We start from the raw sequence: 18,355 nt of genomic DNA, 5'->3' as shown, positions 1-18,355 counted from the left end.
AAAACCCCATCTCCACCAAAAATACAAAAACTAGCCAGGTGTGGTGGTGCATGCCTGTAGAGCCAGCTACTTGGGAGGCTGAGGCAGGAGAATCGTTTGAACCTGGGAGGCGGAAGTTGTACTGAACCGAGGTCATACCACTATACTCCAGCCTGGGTGACAGAGCAAGATCATGTCTCAAAAAAAAAAAAAAAAAAGTCTTCTAGTTAAATTTTAGTGAGAGATTTTCACAGGAATTAAAATTCTGGGGCCTTAAAAAATCTTAAGTATGCTTTGCCATAAGCTTCAGGGACCGTGTCCATGTTACTTGGCTGTGTGTAGTCATGAATATGATCTTTTAGGATAGGACAGCAATTAAACAAACTAGATTTTTTTTTCTTTCTTTAAAAAAAAAAAAAAGAATACATTTGTTAACCTCCTGTTTGGAAATTTTACAAGGAGCTGGAGAAATTTTCACTTTTGTGTTTACTGATTGATTGTGTACTACCTTAACTGTTGGAAAAATATATTCCCTATTCAGATGAATGATAAACCAGTAAAAGCTATGAAAGGGAAAAAATGTGATGGGATTACAGCTGCCACAGAGAGGTTTTTGAAGCTTTGCACCTTGTTTGCAATTGTCATTAAGATAATGGAAATTTTGAAAGATGATCTTAATGTCTTCAATATTGTTATAATTAGGCTTTTTTCTTTGTAAATGATGTGTCTTAATTTGAAAAGTTTTCCTTTAGGAGCTTCTTTTTTTTTTTTTTTTTGAGCGGAGTCTTGCTCTGTCGCCCAGGCTGGAGTGCGGTGGTGCGATCTCGGCTCACTGGAGCATCTGCCTCCTAGGTTCAAGCAATTCTCCTGCCTCAGCCTCCTGAGTAGCTGGAATTACAGGCACCTGCCACCACGCCCAGCTATAGGAGCTTCTTATGTTATGTGAACACTATGAGTAAACAGAGTGGTATAGTTTAAACTTGCCTTCCAGTTTTTCCAAGTTCCTCTTTCTCCAATTCATTGTCTTTGCCTCGGGGTTCTTTTTCATTAATATGTATGGATGTTTACGCAGTTAGAAAAAATGTTCATAAAGATGATATTGTTGAGTGCTTACTGTTTCTGGTCCTTTGATAATGTGGTGTGCTTTTTACTTTTACACAGAAAATAACTGTGGTCAGATTGTCATGCAGTTTGCCATAGACAGTAAGGATATTGTGAAAGAAATTCTGGCTGTCTGCATAGCATGACCTTTCAAAACTGTTTTCTTTGCTGCAAGCATTTCACTTAGCCTTTTGACTGCCACATGATAGAGGAAGTAGTACATAAAGGGTAATATAAATGGCTGCCTTGTTGGTCTCAATACTGTTTTTTAAACCATGTTAAATAGTCACATGTTATTAAATAGTTTTATGTGGAGGATTACCAGTTTTATGCATAGTATAGTACATTTTAAGTATAATTTTATAAAACTTATAGTATTTAAAATTTAAATACAGGCTGGGCACGGTGGCTCATGCCTGTAATCCCAGCACTTTGGGAGGCCGAGGTGGGTGGATGACCTGAGGTGAGGAGTTCGAGACCAGCCTGGCCAACATGGTGAAACCCCATCTCTACTAAAAATCCAAAAAATTAGCTGGGCATGGTAGTGCGTGCCTGTAATCCCAGCTACTCAGGAGGCTGAGGCTTGAACCTGGGAGGCAGAGATTGCAGCGAGCCAAGATCGCGTCATTATACTCCAGCCTGGGTGACAAGAACAAGACTCCATCTTAAAAAAAAAATTAAATAGAAAATCACATTATTTTCAAAAAGGACCTAAACTTTTTATTCAAAGTTTTAAGGATTATTAGTGAATGGAGATTATTATATATAGCTCATGACTACAAATCTGTAATTTTTGTGAGGAGACATTTTTAAAGCAACCTTTGGAGCTCTCTTTCTGCTGCTTCTGAGCACCCAGGAGAGACTGTTTTCTTTAACACTGTGAAGAGAACTGGGGAAAATGAGGAAGCTCCAGCCTGATTTTATTTTACTTTTATTTTATTTTATTTGAGATGGAGTCTTGCTTCATATACTCCAGTAAATGTGGTCATGCTATATATATTCTTTTGTTTCTTTTAACATTGTTGGTAAGGTTCATTAATGGTGATGTGTGTAGCTGTATTTTATTCATTTTTCCTATTGTAAACTATTATTTATTGATCTATTAATGTACATTAGGATTATGCCTAGTTTTTTGTTACTATGAAAACTTTCACCTTAAACATTCATGTGAATGTCATATCCTCAGATAAGCATTTTCTTTTTTTTTTTTTTTTAAGTATTTATTGATCATTCTTGGGTGTTTCTCGGAGCGGGGGATTTGGCAGGGTCATAGGACAATAGTGGAGGGAAGGTCAGCAGATAAACATGTGAACAAGGGTCTCTGGTTTTCCTAGGCAGAGGGCCCTGCCTGCTTCCTTCCGCAGCGTTTGCGTCCCTGGGTACTTGAGATTAGGGAGTGGTGATGACTCTTAAGGAGCATGCTGCCTTCAAGCATCTGTTTAACAAAGCACATCTTACACCGTCCTTAATCCATTTAACCCTGAGTGGACACAGCACATGTTTCAGAGAGCATGGGGTTGGGGGTAAGGTTATAGATTAACAGCATCCCAAGGCAGAAGAATTTTTCTTAGTACAGAACAAAATGGAGTCTCCTATGTCTACTTCTTTCTACAGAGACACAGTAACAATCTGATCTCTTTCTTTTCCCCACATTTCCCCCTTTTCTATTCGACAAAACTGCCATCGTCATCATGGCCCGTTCTCAATGAGCTGTTGGGTACACCTCCCAGACAGGGCGGCGGCCTGGCAGAGGCGCCCCCCCACCTCCTGGAGGGGGCGGCTGCCGGGCGGGAGCTTCCCCCCGCCTCCCTCCGGGACAGGGCGGCTGGCCGGGCGGGGGCTGCCCCCCACCTCCCTCCCGGACGGGGCGGCTGACCGGGCGGGGGCTGCCCCCCATCTCCCTCCCGGACGGGGCGGCTGGCCGAGCGGGGGCTGCCCCCCACCTCCCGGACAGGGCGGCTGCTGGGCAGAGATGCTCTTCACTTCCCAGACGGGGCGGCTGCGGGGCGGAGGGGCTCCTCACTTCCCAGACGGGGCGGCTGCCGGGTGGAGGGGCTCCTCACTTCTCAGACGGGGTGGCCGGGCAGAGACGCTCCTCACCTCCCAGACGGGGTGGCGGCCGGGCAGAGGGGCTCCTCACATCCCAGACCATGGGTGGCCAGGGAGACGCTCCTCACTTCCCAGACGGGGTGGCGGCCGGGCAGAGGCTGCAATCTCAGCACTTTGGGAGGCCAAGGCAGGCGGCTGGGAGGTGGAGGTTATAGCGAGCTGAGATCACGCCACTGCATTCCAGCCTGGGCAAGATTGAGCACTGAGTGAGCGAGACTCCGTCTGCAATCCCAGCACCTCGGGAGGCCCATGCGGGCAGATCACTCGCGGTCAGGAGCTGGAGACCAGCCCAGCCAACAGGGCGAAACCCCGTCTCCACCAAAAAATACAAAAACCAGTCAGGCGTGGCGGCGCGCGCCTGCAATCCCAGGCACTCCTCAGGCTGAGGCAGGAGAATCAGGCAGGGAGGTTGCAGTGAGCCGAGATGGTGGTAGTACAGTCCAGCCTCCGCTCGGCATCAGAGGGAGACCGTGCAAAGTGGGAGACGGAGACGGAGACGAGAGGGAGAGGGGGAGGGGGAGGGAGAGGGAGAGCCTTTTTTTGTTTTTTGATACAGAGTCTCTCTCTGTTGCCCAGGCTGGAGTGCAGTGGCGTGATCTTAGCTCATTGCAACCTCTGCTTCCCGGGTTCAAGTGATTCCACTCAGCTTCCCAAGTAGCTGGAATTACAGGTGCATGCCACTGCACCCAGCTAATTTTTGCAGTTTTAGTAGAGATGGGGTTTCACCATGTTGGTCAGGCTGGTCTCAAACTCCTGACCTCAGGTGATCCACTTGTCTTCCAAAGTGTTGGGATTACAGGCGTGAGCCACTGTGCCTGGCCCGGATAAGCATTTTCGTAGAATATTATACCTAGTAATGCAATTTTTGATGCTAAACTCCCTTTGGAAGAGGTTAAATCAGTTTATTCTCCCATAAGCAACGATCTATGAAATGGCATCTCAGTGTGGTTTTAATTTACATTTTCTTGGTGACCAATGAGGTTGAACATTTTCCCCCATATGTTTATGGGTTATTTGGGCTTTTGGGAAACTAATTATTATCCCAATTTTTTTTGTTGGATTCATGTTCTTTATATGTTCTTTTTCACACTGTAACTTTCAAAAGTTGTTTATTTTATCATTTTTTATTTATCTGTTTGACATTCTTCATTGAATCTCTTGTTCTTTTGCATGAAGAACAGCACCTTAATTTGACCTACCAGCCTCCCCAGTACCATTCTGCCCCTGTACTCTGCTTGTTGAATTCCATAAATGCTTAAGGTTTCTCAGGTCTTTGCATATAGTCTTTCTTTCCTTGCCTGCCTAGCTAATTTCCTGTCTTACATTGTCTCTGTTAAAATATCACCCTCATGGGCCATGGTGGCTCATGCCTCTATTCCCAGCACTTTGGGAGACCAAGGCCGGGGGATGGGGATCACTTGAACTCAGGAGTTTGAGACCAGCCTGCGCAACATAGTGAGATCTTGTCTCTACAAAAAATGAAAAAATTAGCTGGGTGCCATGCACCTGTAATCCCAGCTACTTGAGAGGCTGAGATAGGAGGATCATTTGAGCTCCAGAGGTTGACGATGCAGTGAACTATGATTACACTACTGCATTCCAGCCTGGGTGGCAGAGTGGGACTCTGTCCCAAAAAAAATTAAAAAAAAAAAAATCACCCTCTTTATCTGCCTCAAATTAACATGTTTTAACCTCTACATTTGTTTATGAAAATAAAATAATTCTCATCAGAAGATTACAGAGGAAGAGGAGAGCTGTCGATATGTTCATTTCTGCCAGGGGATTTTAAAATGCATTGTGCAGAGTAATGAACAAGGATAAAAGTTGTTGAGCTTCAGCAGGAGTGAATGATTTGCTGGTGTCATAATGGTAGCCTCATTAATGATATCCCCCACTGCTCTTCATAATTCTGTTTTCTGTTTGGATGAAGGGTGATAAGGAAAACAGTGATATTGGACTGACTGAGGGAGGATATGTGGGTTTTAATCATGGCCTTGCAGCTACTTAGATTATGTGTTTGACTAAATTAGTGAAGGCTAAATTGCTGTCAACAGACCAAAAATGAATAATGGTCCAAACTTAATAGACATTTATTTCTCACTCGTGGAACAGTTAAGTTGGATGGCCCTCTTTGGTAGGTGGTTCTCTTTCAAATGGTTTCTTCCATCTTGTGACTCTGTCATCCTCTATTCCACTATGACCAGTGGAAGAGGAAAGAGAAGGTGTAAGTGTCACACCAACTTTCTTAAATTAAGCCCTGACCTGAAGTGACACAGGTCATTTCCACTGAACATTCCACTGGAAAGAACTTAGTACATGGCCACTTCTAATTGCACAGGAAGTTGGAATGTGTATCCGCTAAGTGCCCAGCCACAATCCTGTAACTGTGGAAGAAAAAAATTAGTCTCTGCCATAGTGACCTTGGTATAGTTGTCATATTTCTGTAGGTCTCAATTTCTAAGGTATAAGAAAAGGGATCTATACTCAGGAGATTTATCACACACACACCCTTCTTCCTTAGTGATTAAATTTAAAAGGCACAAGCAAAGTGTTTCCATCGTTTCTTCATTCGCCTTGTTCCAATTCAATTTTGAAGGATTATGAGATGCTAAAGGTAGTATTAATCATTGTCTTCTCCTTCTTATCACACCCAAGGTCTTCACAGCTCTGTGGCTTTATCCAGGCCCGAGTACAAACTGCATCATGGCCTTATAGCAAATGGAAGCTTATAATGTGAGATGAAATAATTCTGAAGTTTTAGTTGTAGGCAAATGTATTGGTATGATACTAGTTGCTTTTGAAATATAACTTGTTTAAATAGTCTACATTTTCTCTGGAAAATAAGAATTTTAAATATATTTTAAAACATCTAACAAAGTTGGCTAGAGCTTGAGTCAATTGATTCATAAATTTGGTCTGTGTTAGCAATTTAGTGCAAGGAAATTGTCTTGATAGTTTTGTAACCAAAGTTGGGTAATAGGAATTGTTTTTTAAAACTTTAATTTTTTTGAGACAGTGTCTCGCTCTTTCACCCAGGCTAGAGTACAGTGGCATTAACGTGGCCTTCTGTAGCCTCGACTGCCTGGCGTCAAGTGATCCTCTTTTACTTCAGCCTCCCAAGTAGCTGGGACCCTAAGTGTGCACCCCCTCACCTGGCTAATTAAAAAAATTTTTTGGGCCGGGCACGGTGGCACACGCCTGTAATCCCAGCACTTTGCGAGGCCGAGGCGGGCAGATCACCTGAGGTCAGGAGTTCGAGAGCAGCCTGGCCAACATGACAAACCCAGTCTCTACTAAAAAATACAAAAAAATTAGCCAGGCGTGGTGGTGGGCACCTGTAATCCCAGCTGCTCGGGAGTCTGAGGCAAGAGAATCACCTGAACCCGGGAGTCGGAGTTTGCAGTGAGCCAAGATTGCACCACTGCACTCCAGCCTGGGTGACAGAGTGGGACTCCATCTCAAAAAAAAAAAAAATTTCTGTAGAGATGGGGGTCTCACTATGTTGTCCAGGCTGGCTTCAAACTCCTGGGCTCAAGCCGCCCTCCTACCTCCATCTCCTAAAGTGCTAAGATTACAGCTATGAGCCACCATGCCTAGCCAGAAGTTTCATTTTCGTTTTTTGTTGTTTTTTTTTTTTTTGAGATAAGATCTCAGTCTGTCACCCAGGCTAGAGTGCAGTGCCAAGATCTTGGCTTACTATGGCCTCAACCTACTGGGCTCGAGCAATTCTCTCACCTCAACATCCTGAGTAGCTGGGGCTGCAGGTGAGCACCACCATGCCTGGCTAATTTTGTTTATTTTTTTGTAGAGATGAGGTCACACTGTGTTGCTTAGGTTGGCCTTGAGCTCCTGGGCTGAAGCGATTCTCCTGCCTTGGCCTCCCAGAGTGCTGGGATTACAGGCACGAGCCCAGAAGTTTCATTTTTATGTAAAGACTTAATTTTTAGCTGGAGCATTGTGGGTCATGCTTGTAACATCAGCACTTTGGGAAGCTGAGGCGGGAGGATTGCTTGAGGCCAGGAATTTTAGATCAGGCTGGGCAACATAGCGATACCCTGTCTCTACAAAAAAACAAAACAAAAAAACCCCACAAAATTAGTCAGGTGAAGTGGTGTATGCTTGTAGTCTCAGCTACTTAGGAGGCTGAGACAGGAGGATGGCTTGATCCCAGGAGGTAGAGGCTATAGTGAGCTAAGATGGCGCCACTGTATTCCAGCCTGCATGACAGTGAGAGACACTCAGAAAAAAGTCTCAGAGAAAAAAAGAAAAAAGACATAATTTTAAAAACATTTAGCCCACACTGCTTTCTTTTTGGAAATGATAGTAACATTCACAACTAAAGTAAGTTAATTATAGTTTAAGGGCTGGGCACAGTGGCTCACACCTGTAATCCTAGCACTTTGGGAGGCCAAGGTGGGCAGATCACGAGGTCAAGAGATCGAAACCATTGTGGCCAAAATGGTGAAACCCCATCTGTACTAAAAATACAAAAATTAGCTGGGCATGGTGGTACACACCTGTAATCCCAGCTACTTGGGAGGCTGAGGCAGGAGAATCACTTGAACCCTGGAGGCGGAGGTTGCAGTGAGCCGAGATTGCACCACTGCACTCCAGCCTGGCAACAGAGCAAGACGCCGTCTCAAAAAAACAAAAAAAACAAAAAAACAAAAGTTAGTTTTCTGGTGGGCTCACACATGTAATCCTAACACTTTGGAAGCCAAGGTGGGTGGATCACTTGAGGTCGGGAGTTCGAGACCAGTCTGGCCAACATTAGCAAAACTCTGTCTCTACTAAAAATACCAAAAATTAGCCGGGTGTGGTGATGTGTGCCTGTAATCTCAGCTACTTGGAAGGCTGAGGCAGGAGAATTGTTTGAACCTGGGAGGTAGAAGTTGCAGTGAGCTGAGGTCTCGCCACTGCACTCCAGCCTGGGCAACAGAGCGAGACTCTGTCTCAAAAGAAAAAAAAAAGTTCTCAGTGCCATTTAAATTTCAGTAGAACTTGGACCTGCATAATTCTAATTTTAGAGATTAACTTGTTTGCTGATATACTAAAGTTATCTGTATATTAGAAGAAAATATTTCTCATAAGAAATGCCCTTGGGCCAGGCATGGTGGCTCACACCTGTAATCCTAGCACTTTGGGAGGCCGAAGCAGGAGGATTGCTTGAGCTAGGGTTTCAAGACAGCCTGGGCAACAAAGCAAGACACTGTCTCTATTAAAAAAAAAAAAAATTTGGCCAGGTGCAGCGATTTCATGCTTGTAATCCCAGCCCTTTGGGAGGCTAAGGCAGATGGATCACTTGAGTTCAGGAGTTCGAGACCAGCCTGGGCAACATGGCAAAACCCCACGTCTACCAAAAATACAAAAAATTAGCCAGGCATGGTGGCATGCACCTGTGGTCCCAACTACTCGGGAGGCTTGATGTGGGAGGATTGCTTGAGCCCAGGAGGTAGATGTTGCAGTGAGCCAAGATCGTGCCACTGTACTCCATCCTGGGTGACAGAGTGACAGCCTGTCTCAAAAAAAAAAAAAAAAAAAAGAAGGCCGGGCGTGGTGGCTCACGCCTGTAATCCCAGCATTTTGGGAGGCTGAGGTGGGCAGATCATGAGGTCAGGAGATCAAGACCATCCTGGCTAACACGGTGAAACCCTGTCTCTACTAAAAATACAAAAAAATTAGCCGGGCATGGTGGTGGGTACCTGTAGTCTCAGCTACTCGGGAAGCTGAGGCAGGAGAATGGCGTGCACCCAGGAGGCAGAGCTTGCAGTATGCCGAGATCATGCCACTGTACTTCAGCCTGGGCGACAGAGCGAGACTCCGTCTCAAAAAAAAAAAAAAAAAGAAATGACATAGAGTAAGATATATATTTGGAAAATGTGTGTGTTGCTATTTTTTTTTTTGGCAGTAGAGGGGTGCTGAATACAGAGGACTTTATTGATGGTGCACTACAAAGTGGAGCTTTCTAGGCCTATCCCATTTTTCAGGGGGTCTGGCATGGAAACCGTGTCTGGGAAGGGAGATTCTCAGTGTGATGGCGGGGGACTGAGTGGGGCAGGACTGCACAGCAGCTGAGGGCCTCTCTCTTACTTACATGGTCTCACTGGGGCTGGTGGTCCAGGAGGCCATGTGCACCATAAGGTCTACCACCCTGTTGCTGTAGCCAAATTCATTGTCATACCAGGAAATGAGCTTGACAAAGTAGTCATTGAGAACAATACCAGCTCCAACATTGAAGGTGGAAAAGTTGTTATCACTGTTAGTTGGCAGAGACAACCTGGTACTCAGAGTAGCCCAGGATGCCTTTGAGGGGTCCTCCCACGCCTGCTTCACCTCCTTCATGATGTCATTGTATTTGGCAGGTCTCTCCAGATGGCAGGTCAGGTCCATGATGGACACATTGGCTGTGGGGACATAGAAGGCTATGCCAGTGAGCTCCCTGCTCAGCTTGGAGATGACTTTGCCCACAGCTTTGGCAGCACCAGTAGGTACAGGAGTGATGTTCTGGAAAGCCATTGCACCACAGTTTCCCAGATGGGCCATCAGTGGTCTTCTGGATGTCAGTGATAGTAGCATGGATGAGGTCATGATTCCTCCCATGATGCCAAAGTTGTCATGGGTGATCTTGGCCAGTGGTGCTAAGCAGTTAGTGGTATAGAAGGTTTGCTGGGAATTGCGAGGTGTTTTTTTACTTTTCATGGTTCATGCCCATTACAAACATGGGGGCATCAGCAGAGGGGGCAGAGATGATGACCCTTTCGGTTTCTCCTTTTAAATGAGCCCCAGCCTTCTACAAGGTAGTGAAGATGCCAGTGGTCTCCACAATGTAATTGTGGTGGCATCACCCAATTTGATTTTGGTGGGAATTTGCTCCTAGAAAATGGTTATGGTATTTTCATTGATGACAAGCTTGCCATTCTCAGCCTTGACTGTGCCACGGAATTTGCCATGGGTAGAATCATCATGGAACATATAGACCGTGTAGTTGAGGGCAATGAGGGGGTCCTTGATGAGACAATATCCACTTCGCCAGAGTTAAAAGCAGCCTTGGTGACCAGGTGTCTAATAAGGCCAAATCAGTTTACCTGGCTTTCACTTTCATTGTGATGTCTCAGGGATGTGATGGGTGTTACATGAGAAGATGTGGCTGTTGAATGGGAGGAACAGAAAGTGTAAATTTTTTTTTTAAGAAAAAAATGAATTATTGACTGTAGTAATTGCGTGATTTCATTCTAATAGGTCATGCTGCAATGATATATTGCTGTAACAAACCATCCCAAAACTTAGTGGTGTAAAACATTCATTTTATTATGCTCTGGTTCTGCAGTCAGGAATTGGATGGGGCACACCAGAGTCAGGTTGTCTTTGGCCCATGTTGTCTGGGCATCAGGTGGAAAAACATGACGTCTGAGGGATGGAGTCATTGAAGGCTTCTTCACTCAGAAGTTTGGCTATTGGTACTAGCAGTCAGCTGGAGTTTGTCAACACTTATCCTTGGCCTCTCCCATGTGTCTGTCCTGAGCTGTTCACTGCTTGGTGGCTACCTTCTAAGAGTGAGCATCTCACAAGCAGGTGTCTTAAGTGAGGAAATGGAAGCTGCAGCTTCTTAAACCTGGGAATTAGTAGAGCATTACCCCTGCTGTATTCTATTAGAGGTCAAGCCATCACTGAAGCCATATTCAAGGAGAGGGATCGTGCACCTGACCTCTCATCACATTTGGCAGGTCTCTCCAGATGGCAGGTCAGGTCCATGAGGGACACATTGGTGGTGGGGGCATAGAAGGCTATGCCAGTGACCTTCCTGCTCAGCTTGGAGATGACTTTGCCCACAGCCTTGGCAGGCAGCACCAGTAGGTGCAGGAGTGATGTAAAATAATTTTGTGGCCATGTTTTAAAATCATCCCAGGTTGTGACAGCAGTGCTGTTGATCGTGTAATCACAATTTTTTTAAGCTACTTTTCAATACTTTGTTAGATTATTTAGATTCTTTTTTTTTTTTTTTTTTTTTGAGGTAGAGTCTCACTCTGTCACCAACAATGGAGTGCAGTAGCATGATCTCAGCTCACTGCAATGTCCGCTTCCCAGGCTCAAGTGATCCTCCTACCTCAGCCTCCCAAGTAGCTGGGACCACAAGTGCATGCCATCATGCCTGGTGTGTTTTTGGTAAAGACAGGGTTTTACCATGTTGCCCATGCTGGGGTTTTGTTTGTTTGTTTGTTTGTTTGTTTGTTTTTTGAGACAGGGTCTCACTCTGTCGCCCAGGCTGGAATGCAGTACCACAATCACAGCTCACGGCAATGTCTGCCTCCCAGGCTCAGGCGATCGTCCCTCAGCTTCCTGAGTAGCTGGGACTACAGGTGTGTGCTACCACGCCCAGCTAATTTTTGTATTTTTTGTATTTTTTTGTAGAGGCAGGGTTTTGTCAAGTTGCCCAGGCTGGTTTCGAACTTCTGGCCTCAAGGGATCCTCTGCCTCGCCCTCTCACAGTACTCGAATTACAGGCATAAGCCACCACTCCCGGCCTTAGATTCTTAAAGCTTTCTTTCCTTGCTAATGTTTTATCCAAAACATTTTTAATCCCTTGAGAGTATTCCCATAGTTTCCAGAAGAAAAAGGTATGGGTTGGTTTTAGTAGCTACGTTCAGTCAGGAAACATTTTAAATTATTAACTGTTATACTAATGGTATGAAATGGATACTAATGTCATTTTTCTTTCTTTCTTTTTTTTTGTTGAGATGGAGTTTTGCTCTTATCGCCCAGGCTGGAGTGCAATGGTGCAATCTCCACTCAGTGCAACCTTTGCCTCCGGGGTTCAGGTGATCCTCCTGCCTCAGCCTCCTGAGTCGCTGGGATTACAGGCACACGCCACCACGCCCGGCTAATTTTTGTATTTTTAGTAGAGACTGGGTTTCACCATGTTGGCCAGGCTGGTCTTCAACTCCTGACCTCAGGTGATCCACCCACCTCAGCCTCCCAAAGTGCTGGGATTACAGGTGTGAGCCACCGCGGCTGGCCAATGTATGCTTTTTAATTTAAAAGAATGCTATATTTGAGGGTTTTGAAACGAAATATAATTTATTAGCTTATAGGGTGATGTTATAACTTAAATACAGGACAGTATCCAAAAGCTGTCCTGTTAATGCATAACAGATAAAGATTTCAGATCTTTTGGGATCTTAGACATAGTAACATGTGATTAATTATTATATTCCAAACCATGTAACTCCCAGTACTCATCCCATTATGCACAGGTCATAGGCTGGGGCAGTGAGGCAGTGAGGGGGTTTCATGACAGCAACATTGTGGTGCTGCCTCAACTTTTTAGATGACATAGCCTGATCCCCAGACACTGCAGTCCCACACCTTAAGAAGTTCAGGCGGGTACTCTGTATTTCCCTTTTCCAGTATTCCATCCTCATCCCTTCTGGTTGAGGCTCTGGGAGGTCGAGGTAAAAAACACTGCAATCATTCAGAGAACAGACATGCCTCCGCTAGTCTCTCACTAGACCTAACTGCTCTGGTACAGGCTGGATTGCAAATTGCTTCGTTTTGTTTTGTAATTACCTCATCTCCCAATCAAGTGTGTGATATGGTATCTTAAACAGAATAAGTACTTATTAAATATTCATTTCCTTGAAATTCAGTTGTTTTCCCACTTTGTCCCTCTGCAGTTTTCTTCTCTTCCTCTTTTTGATCAAGGCCTAGCACTGAGATGACATTATCAGCCTGCCTCTCTGGACTCTCTGTGTCCTCTAGAGAGAATAACCAGTGAAAGAAGACTTGGCATCAAGGACAGATACTTCTTCAGTTTTTCTTAGTCTTTTCCCTCTCAATTTACAGTCCATAGTGAGGGAGAAATGAAAGCTACACACAGAAGCATTTTGTCATTCATGGGTGGATAGCTTAGGAAGAAAATTGGTCTCCAAGGAAAAGGTTTAAAACAGACAAACAAATGATAAGTACTTGCCAGACCAAACTTAAACCATCATGCAAAGGAGTAATCCTGAAATTACTTGGGATAAATGCCAGCCTTTATTGGATGCTCTTTTAATTTTTACATATTATGACTTATTTTCAAAATGACAGCAGACAGAAATAACTAAAAGAATTCAAAGCCTGGAATAGTGCATTTTCTACAGCTGTAAGCTATTTAAAATTCTTCTCATGTTACTGTTTGCTATCCAGATGGCTTTCTGGCACTGGTTCAGTTCCTAGATGTGAGAGCTGTTGGTTAGTTACTCACCAGCACCACCACACACTTGTACAATTTGGCTCATGACTCACTCTCATTGCAATTACATGTGGGTACTCTGCTACACAAACAGTCATTCCTGATTGTCATGATGGTACTTGTAAACAAGAACCAGAATTGATTGGATACCATTTCTAGAAGGAAGATTTGTTGACATTCAAAAGCACCCACCTCAGTTAGTCTATTGGACCCATTGCCACTCATTGGAGTGAGAAACAGAAGCAGTCATCTAGACAATGAAACTTTTGTCTAAAATATATACTTGAATGATAGGTGCAAAAGTGTATCCAGTGAGCCACAATTATTTGGATATTTGCTTTGCTCCCATACTGTTACCTAAAGTGATTAAAAAACAAAACAACCCCCACCTCTTACAAAAGAAGTCAGATGGTGGTAGGAGGTTTGGGAGAGGGTTGCTATCTGAAAGAGACAAACAAGGAGTCTCCTGAGATGCTGGCAGTGTTCTTTGTCTTAACCTGGATAGTGGTTTGCTTTGCAATAGGTATTTGCTTTCCAAAAATTCATTGAACTGTACAATTACATGTTGGGTATTTTTGTTTATGCGTTATTAGCAAAAGTGTTTAAAAACAGAAAATGCTCTCCTGTAATGTAGGAGAATTCCCTTAGTTATATCTTCAAAGGCTAGAGAAGGTCTCTATGTTAATGTAGTAGATATTGGTCTTTGGTAGTCTTTGTCCTATTAATTTTATCTATTTAGGGAAATAATCATTTTTACCTTAAAACGTGGTTATTGTCAAACAGTGATTGGAATAGCTTAACACTTAATGATAGTTCCCATGTCCCAAATACTGTTCACTTGAATGGGTTTCAGCAAGGGGTGGAGAGGGTGAGGAGAGAAGACTGTGGGGATGAAATACATTTCTCCTGGAAATACATATATCCATTTGGAATAACTTATCTTGTTGATGTTAGGGGTAAACACGGTCGAACATTTAGATTAGAAAAGAGGAAGGTAGACTAAAAACTAGAAATCTGAAGAGTTTTATTAGCATTGCTTAATAAAAAATTATGTGTTTGGAAGAAGACCATTTAATTTTTAAATTTTTTTTCCATTTCAAGGACTGTATTAAGTAACTTAAAATGGCATATTTTAAAGAGGCTAGCTGTATATTTTGGAATAATAGAGTGATATGACTTTTATTAAATTTTTTTCATCAGCCCTTTTAGTTTGATGAAATAATACCAATAATGTCCTCCCTCTCCACTGAAATACCAGTGTTATGGATTATATGTCTAAATTTATCTTTATACTTTTTTTTTTCTTTGACAGTATCTCACTCACTCTATCGCCCAGGCTGGAGTGTAGTGGCGTGATCTCAACTCACTGCAACCTCTGCCTCCCAGGTTAAAGTGATTCTCCTGCCTCAGCCTCCCAAGTAGGTGGGCGCCTGACAACACGCCTAACTAATTTTTGTATTTTTAGTAGAGAAGGTTTCACCATGTTGGCCAGGCTGGTCTTGAACTCCTGACCTCAAGTGATTCGCCCACCTCAGCCTCCCAAAGTGCTGGGATTACAGGCGTGAGCCACCGTGCCTGGGCTGTGGTTTAGAAATACTAATGAACACATACATATTAAGAATAAATAGCTGGGCCTGTAATCCCAGCACTTTGGGAGGCCAAGGCAGGTGGATCTCTTGACGTTAGGAGTTCGAGACCAGCCTTACCAACATGGCAAAAACTCATCTCTACTAAAAATACAAAAAAAGTAGCCAGGCACGGTGGCAGGCAACTGTAGTCCCAGCTACTTGGGAGGTTGAGGCAGGAGAATCACTTGAACCTGGGAGGCTGAGGTTGCAGTGAGCCAAGATCACACCACCGCATTCTAGCCTGGGCAACAGAGCAAGACTCCATCTCAAAAAAAAAAAAAAAAAAAAGAGAATAAATAGCCGGGTGCTTTGGCTAATGCTTGTAATCCCAAAACTTTGAGAGACCGAGGTAGGAGGATTGCTTGAGCTCAGGAGTTCAAGCTCAGCCTGGGGAATATGTAGCGAAACCTTGTCTCTAGTAAAAAAAAAAAAAAAAAATCAAAAGAATGATGTGGGTGTGGTGGTGTGTGCTTACAGTCCTAGCTACTCAGGAGGCTGAGGTGGGAGAATTGCTGGAGCCTGGGAGGTCAAGGCTGCAGGGAACCATGATCGTGCCACTGCATTCCAGCCTGGGCAACAGAGTAAGACCCTGTCTCAAAAAAATAAATAAATAAAATAAAATAATTTTTAAAAATACAGAATAAATTGCTAAGTTCTAACCTAAGTCCTTCCTTTGGACCCACTCAAAGTGTCTGGAACAATAGAACTTTAAAAGAGTGTATAAACTGTATGCCATCATTAAAGGCACGTTGAATAAAAGAAACATTTATTTTATAGTTACTTTTGAACTGTATGAGTGTCTTTCCTTCCACCCTTAATTGCCGCGCATTAGGTTATACTTGCAGTTTTTTCTTTTAACTTTAAACACAGTTCTAATTCTAATGTGTATATTAGTTTATATTTGGATTTTTTTCATGTTATTTCTAAACATTGCCACATATTCTTGATAAACATGATTTTAAATGAGTGCACCAAGTGGATGCCATCAGGTGGGTCTGTTATTTTTTTAAATTTTTCATTTTTATATATTTTGCTTTATACATGAAACTTTTTCTGTATTCAGGTTTGTAAATAGGTACATTCCAGAACTGGAATTACCAAGTTATTCAAGGCTCAGTGCCTATTTGCAAATTTTTTTTTTTTTTTTTTTGAGACTGAGTCTTGCTCTGTTGCCCGTGCTGGAGTGCAGTTCTGCAAACAGGGTTCACTGTAGCCTCCACCTTCTGTGCTCAAGAGAAAGAGATCCTCCTCCCTCAGCCTCTCGAGTAGCTGGGACCACAGGCATGTGCCACCACACCCAGCCAATTTTTAAATTTTTGTAGAGATGGGGTCTCACTATGTTGCCCAGGCTGGTGCAGATGTTTTGTAAAAGCTGTTTAGAGTGCCATCTTTGATTTGAGAGGATAAGTTTAAATGTCATTTTATTATAAATGATATGATATATAATGTTATAGCAATTCTTTAATAATTTGTGGAATTACTTTAGAAATAGCTCTTACATATAATTATAGCAATTCGGAATAAATAATCACCTTTAGAAAATGAAGTTCTAGGGCCGGGCGCGGGTGGCTTACGCCTGTAATCCCAGCACTTTGGGAGGCCGAGGTGGGCAGATCACGAGGTCAGGAGATTGACACCATCCTGGCTAACACGTGAAATCCCGTATCTACTAAATACAAAAAATAGCTGGTTGCGGTGGCGGGCGACTGTGGTCCCAGCTACACAGGAGGCTGAGGCAGGAGAATGGCATGATCCCGGGAGGCAGAGCTTGCAGTGAGCCAAGATCGCGCCACTGCACTCCAGCCTGGGTGACAGAGCGAGACTCCGTCTCAAAAAAAAAAAAAAAAAGGCAAAATGAAGTTCTATACTGTTCAGTTTTTAAGTACCCATTATAATGCATACTTCACCATGAACACATCAACAGTTGGGGCTGATTTGTTGTCTTTGAGCAACGTCGGGGGTAGGGACCAAAGCCCAGATGAATCAAGATCCCATACCTTAAGTTGCCTCTGAATGAAACCTCAAGTTGTGATAGCAAATGTAGTATTTAAAGAAGTAATGTGGCCAGGTGCAGTGGCTCACACCTGTAATCCCAGAACTTTGGGAGGCTAAGGCGGGTGGATCACGATGTCAGGAGTTCAAGACTAGCCTGGCCAACATGGTGAAACCCCGTCTCTACTAAAAATACAAAAATTAGCCGGGCGTGATGGCAGGTGCCTGTAATACCAGCTTCTCGGGAGACTGAGGCAGGAGAACTGCTTGAACCTGGGAGCCGGAGGTTGTAGTGAGCCGAGATTGCACCACTGCACTCTAGACTGGGTGACAGAGCAAGACTTAGTCTCAAAACAAAAACAAAAACAAAAGAAGTAATGTTTTTTCTTTTATATTTTAAAAAGAATTCTTTTTTTTTTCCGACTCACTGTAAGCTCCACCTTCTGGGTTCACACCATTCTCCTGCCTCACCCTCCCGAGTAGCTGGGACTACAGGCACCTGCCACCATGCCTGGCTAATTTTTTGTATTTTTTAGTAGAGATGGGGTTTCACTGTGTTAGCCAGGATGGTCACGATCTCCTGACCTCGTGATCCGTCCACCTCAGCCCCCCAGAGTGCTGGGATTACAGGCATGAGCCACTGTGCCCGGCCAAAAAAAATCTCTTTTTAAATATCTCCTATGATTTTGGTTGAATTTGTTCACCTATAGAACAAATTTATGTTGTTTTCTGCTTATCATTAGATGTAAAGGAGTAAAGTCCAGTGGGTTCTGCTGGCACATTGGTGGGGAAGCTGAGAACTTTTAAACTCTTTCCCCTTTCTCCAGTGAACAATCGACAGGATATGGGTTATAGTTACAGTTAAAGGGTTTATTGAACTAATTGTCACTGCTGAAGTTCCTGTGCCCTCTGATAGCTTCCTTGAAAAGTTTTCATAGTTTAAAAACTCTGCTTGTCCTTAGCCTTTGATCTCTTGCTTTGATGCTCAAACAGAAGAATGATACAAGACTGAGGATCTTGCCAGGCAAGGTAGGCCTGTGAAAAGACATTTCCTTTAAATACAAAAAGAAAAAAGAAAAAGGGGAAAATTATGCTAATTGCTTTGGGGAAAAAATCTGACTTTTGGGTCTGACTCTGTCTGTGTGTATTCCTGGATAATTTACTTAAACTCTCTTAGCTTTAGTTTTCTTATCTTTAAAATGGGTAGGGTCTGTAACTCCTAAGATACCTCCAAGTTGAAACTCTGAGTCACTTCTCTCAGGCTGAACTGTTTGTGTAGTCCTATAAAATAAGAGTGACTAAGGGAAATAGCAGA

At 43.5% G+C, this 18,355-nt stretch overlaps 1 protein-coding gene and 1 pseudogene across 13 annotated transcripts in view; one reads left to right on the top strand and one right to left on the bottom strand.

Moving 5' to 3' along the window:
• Positions 1 to 18,355, top strand: part of PIK3CB (phosphatidylinositol-4,5-bisphosphate 3-kinase catalytic subunit beta) — a 182,231-nt gene that overhangs the window by 46,809 nt on the left and 117,067 nt on the right. For 2 of the 13 annotated variants that reach the window (NM_001437292.1, NM_001437287.1), the window contains exon 3: positions 18,003 to 18,069. The exons of the other annotated variants lie outside the window; for them this stretch is intronic. The gene's annotated coding sequence lies outside the window, so the exon portion shown is untranslated. The remainder of the gene's footprint in view (positions 1 to 18,002; positions 18,070 to 18,355) is intronic. 13 annotated transcript variants of the gene reach the window in all.
• On the bottom strand, positions 9,109 to 10,360 carry GAPDHP39 (glyceraldehyde 3 phosphate dehydrogenase pseudogene 39; annotated as a pseudogene).

The sequence above is a fragment of the Homo sapiens genome, chromosome 3 (genome assembly GCF_000001405.40).
Source record: "Homo sapiens chromosome 3, GRCh38.p14 Primary Assembly".
Lineage (NCBI taxonomy): Eukaryota > Metazoa > Chordata > Mammalia > Primates > Hominidae > Homo > Homo sapiens.
Note: the sequence above shows the minus strand (reverse complement) of the source record. Positions and strands in the feature narration are given on the sequence as shown.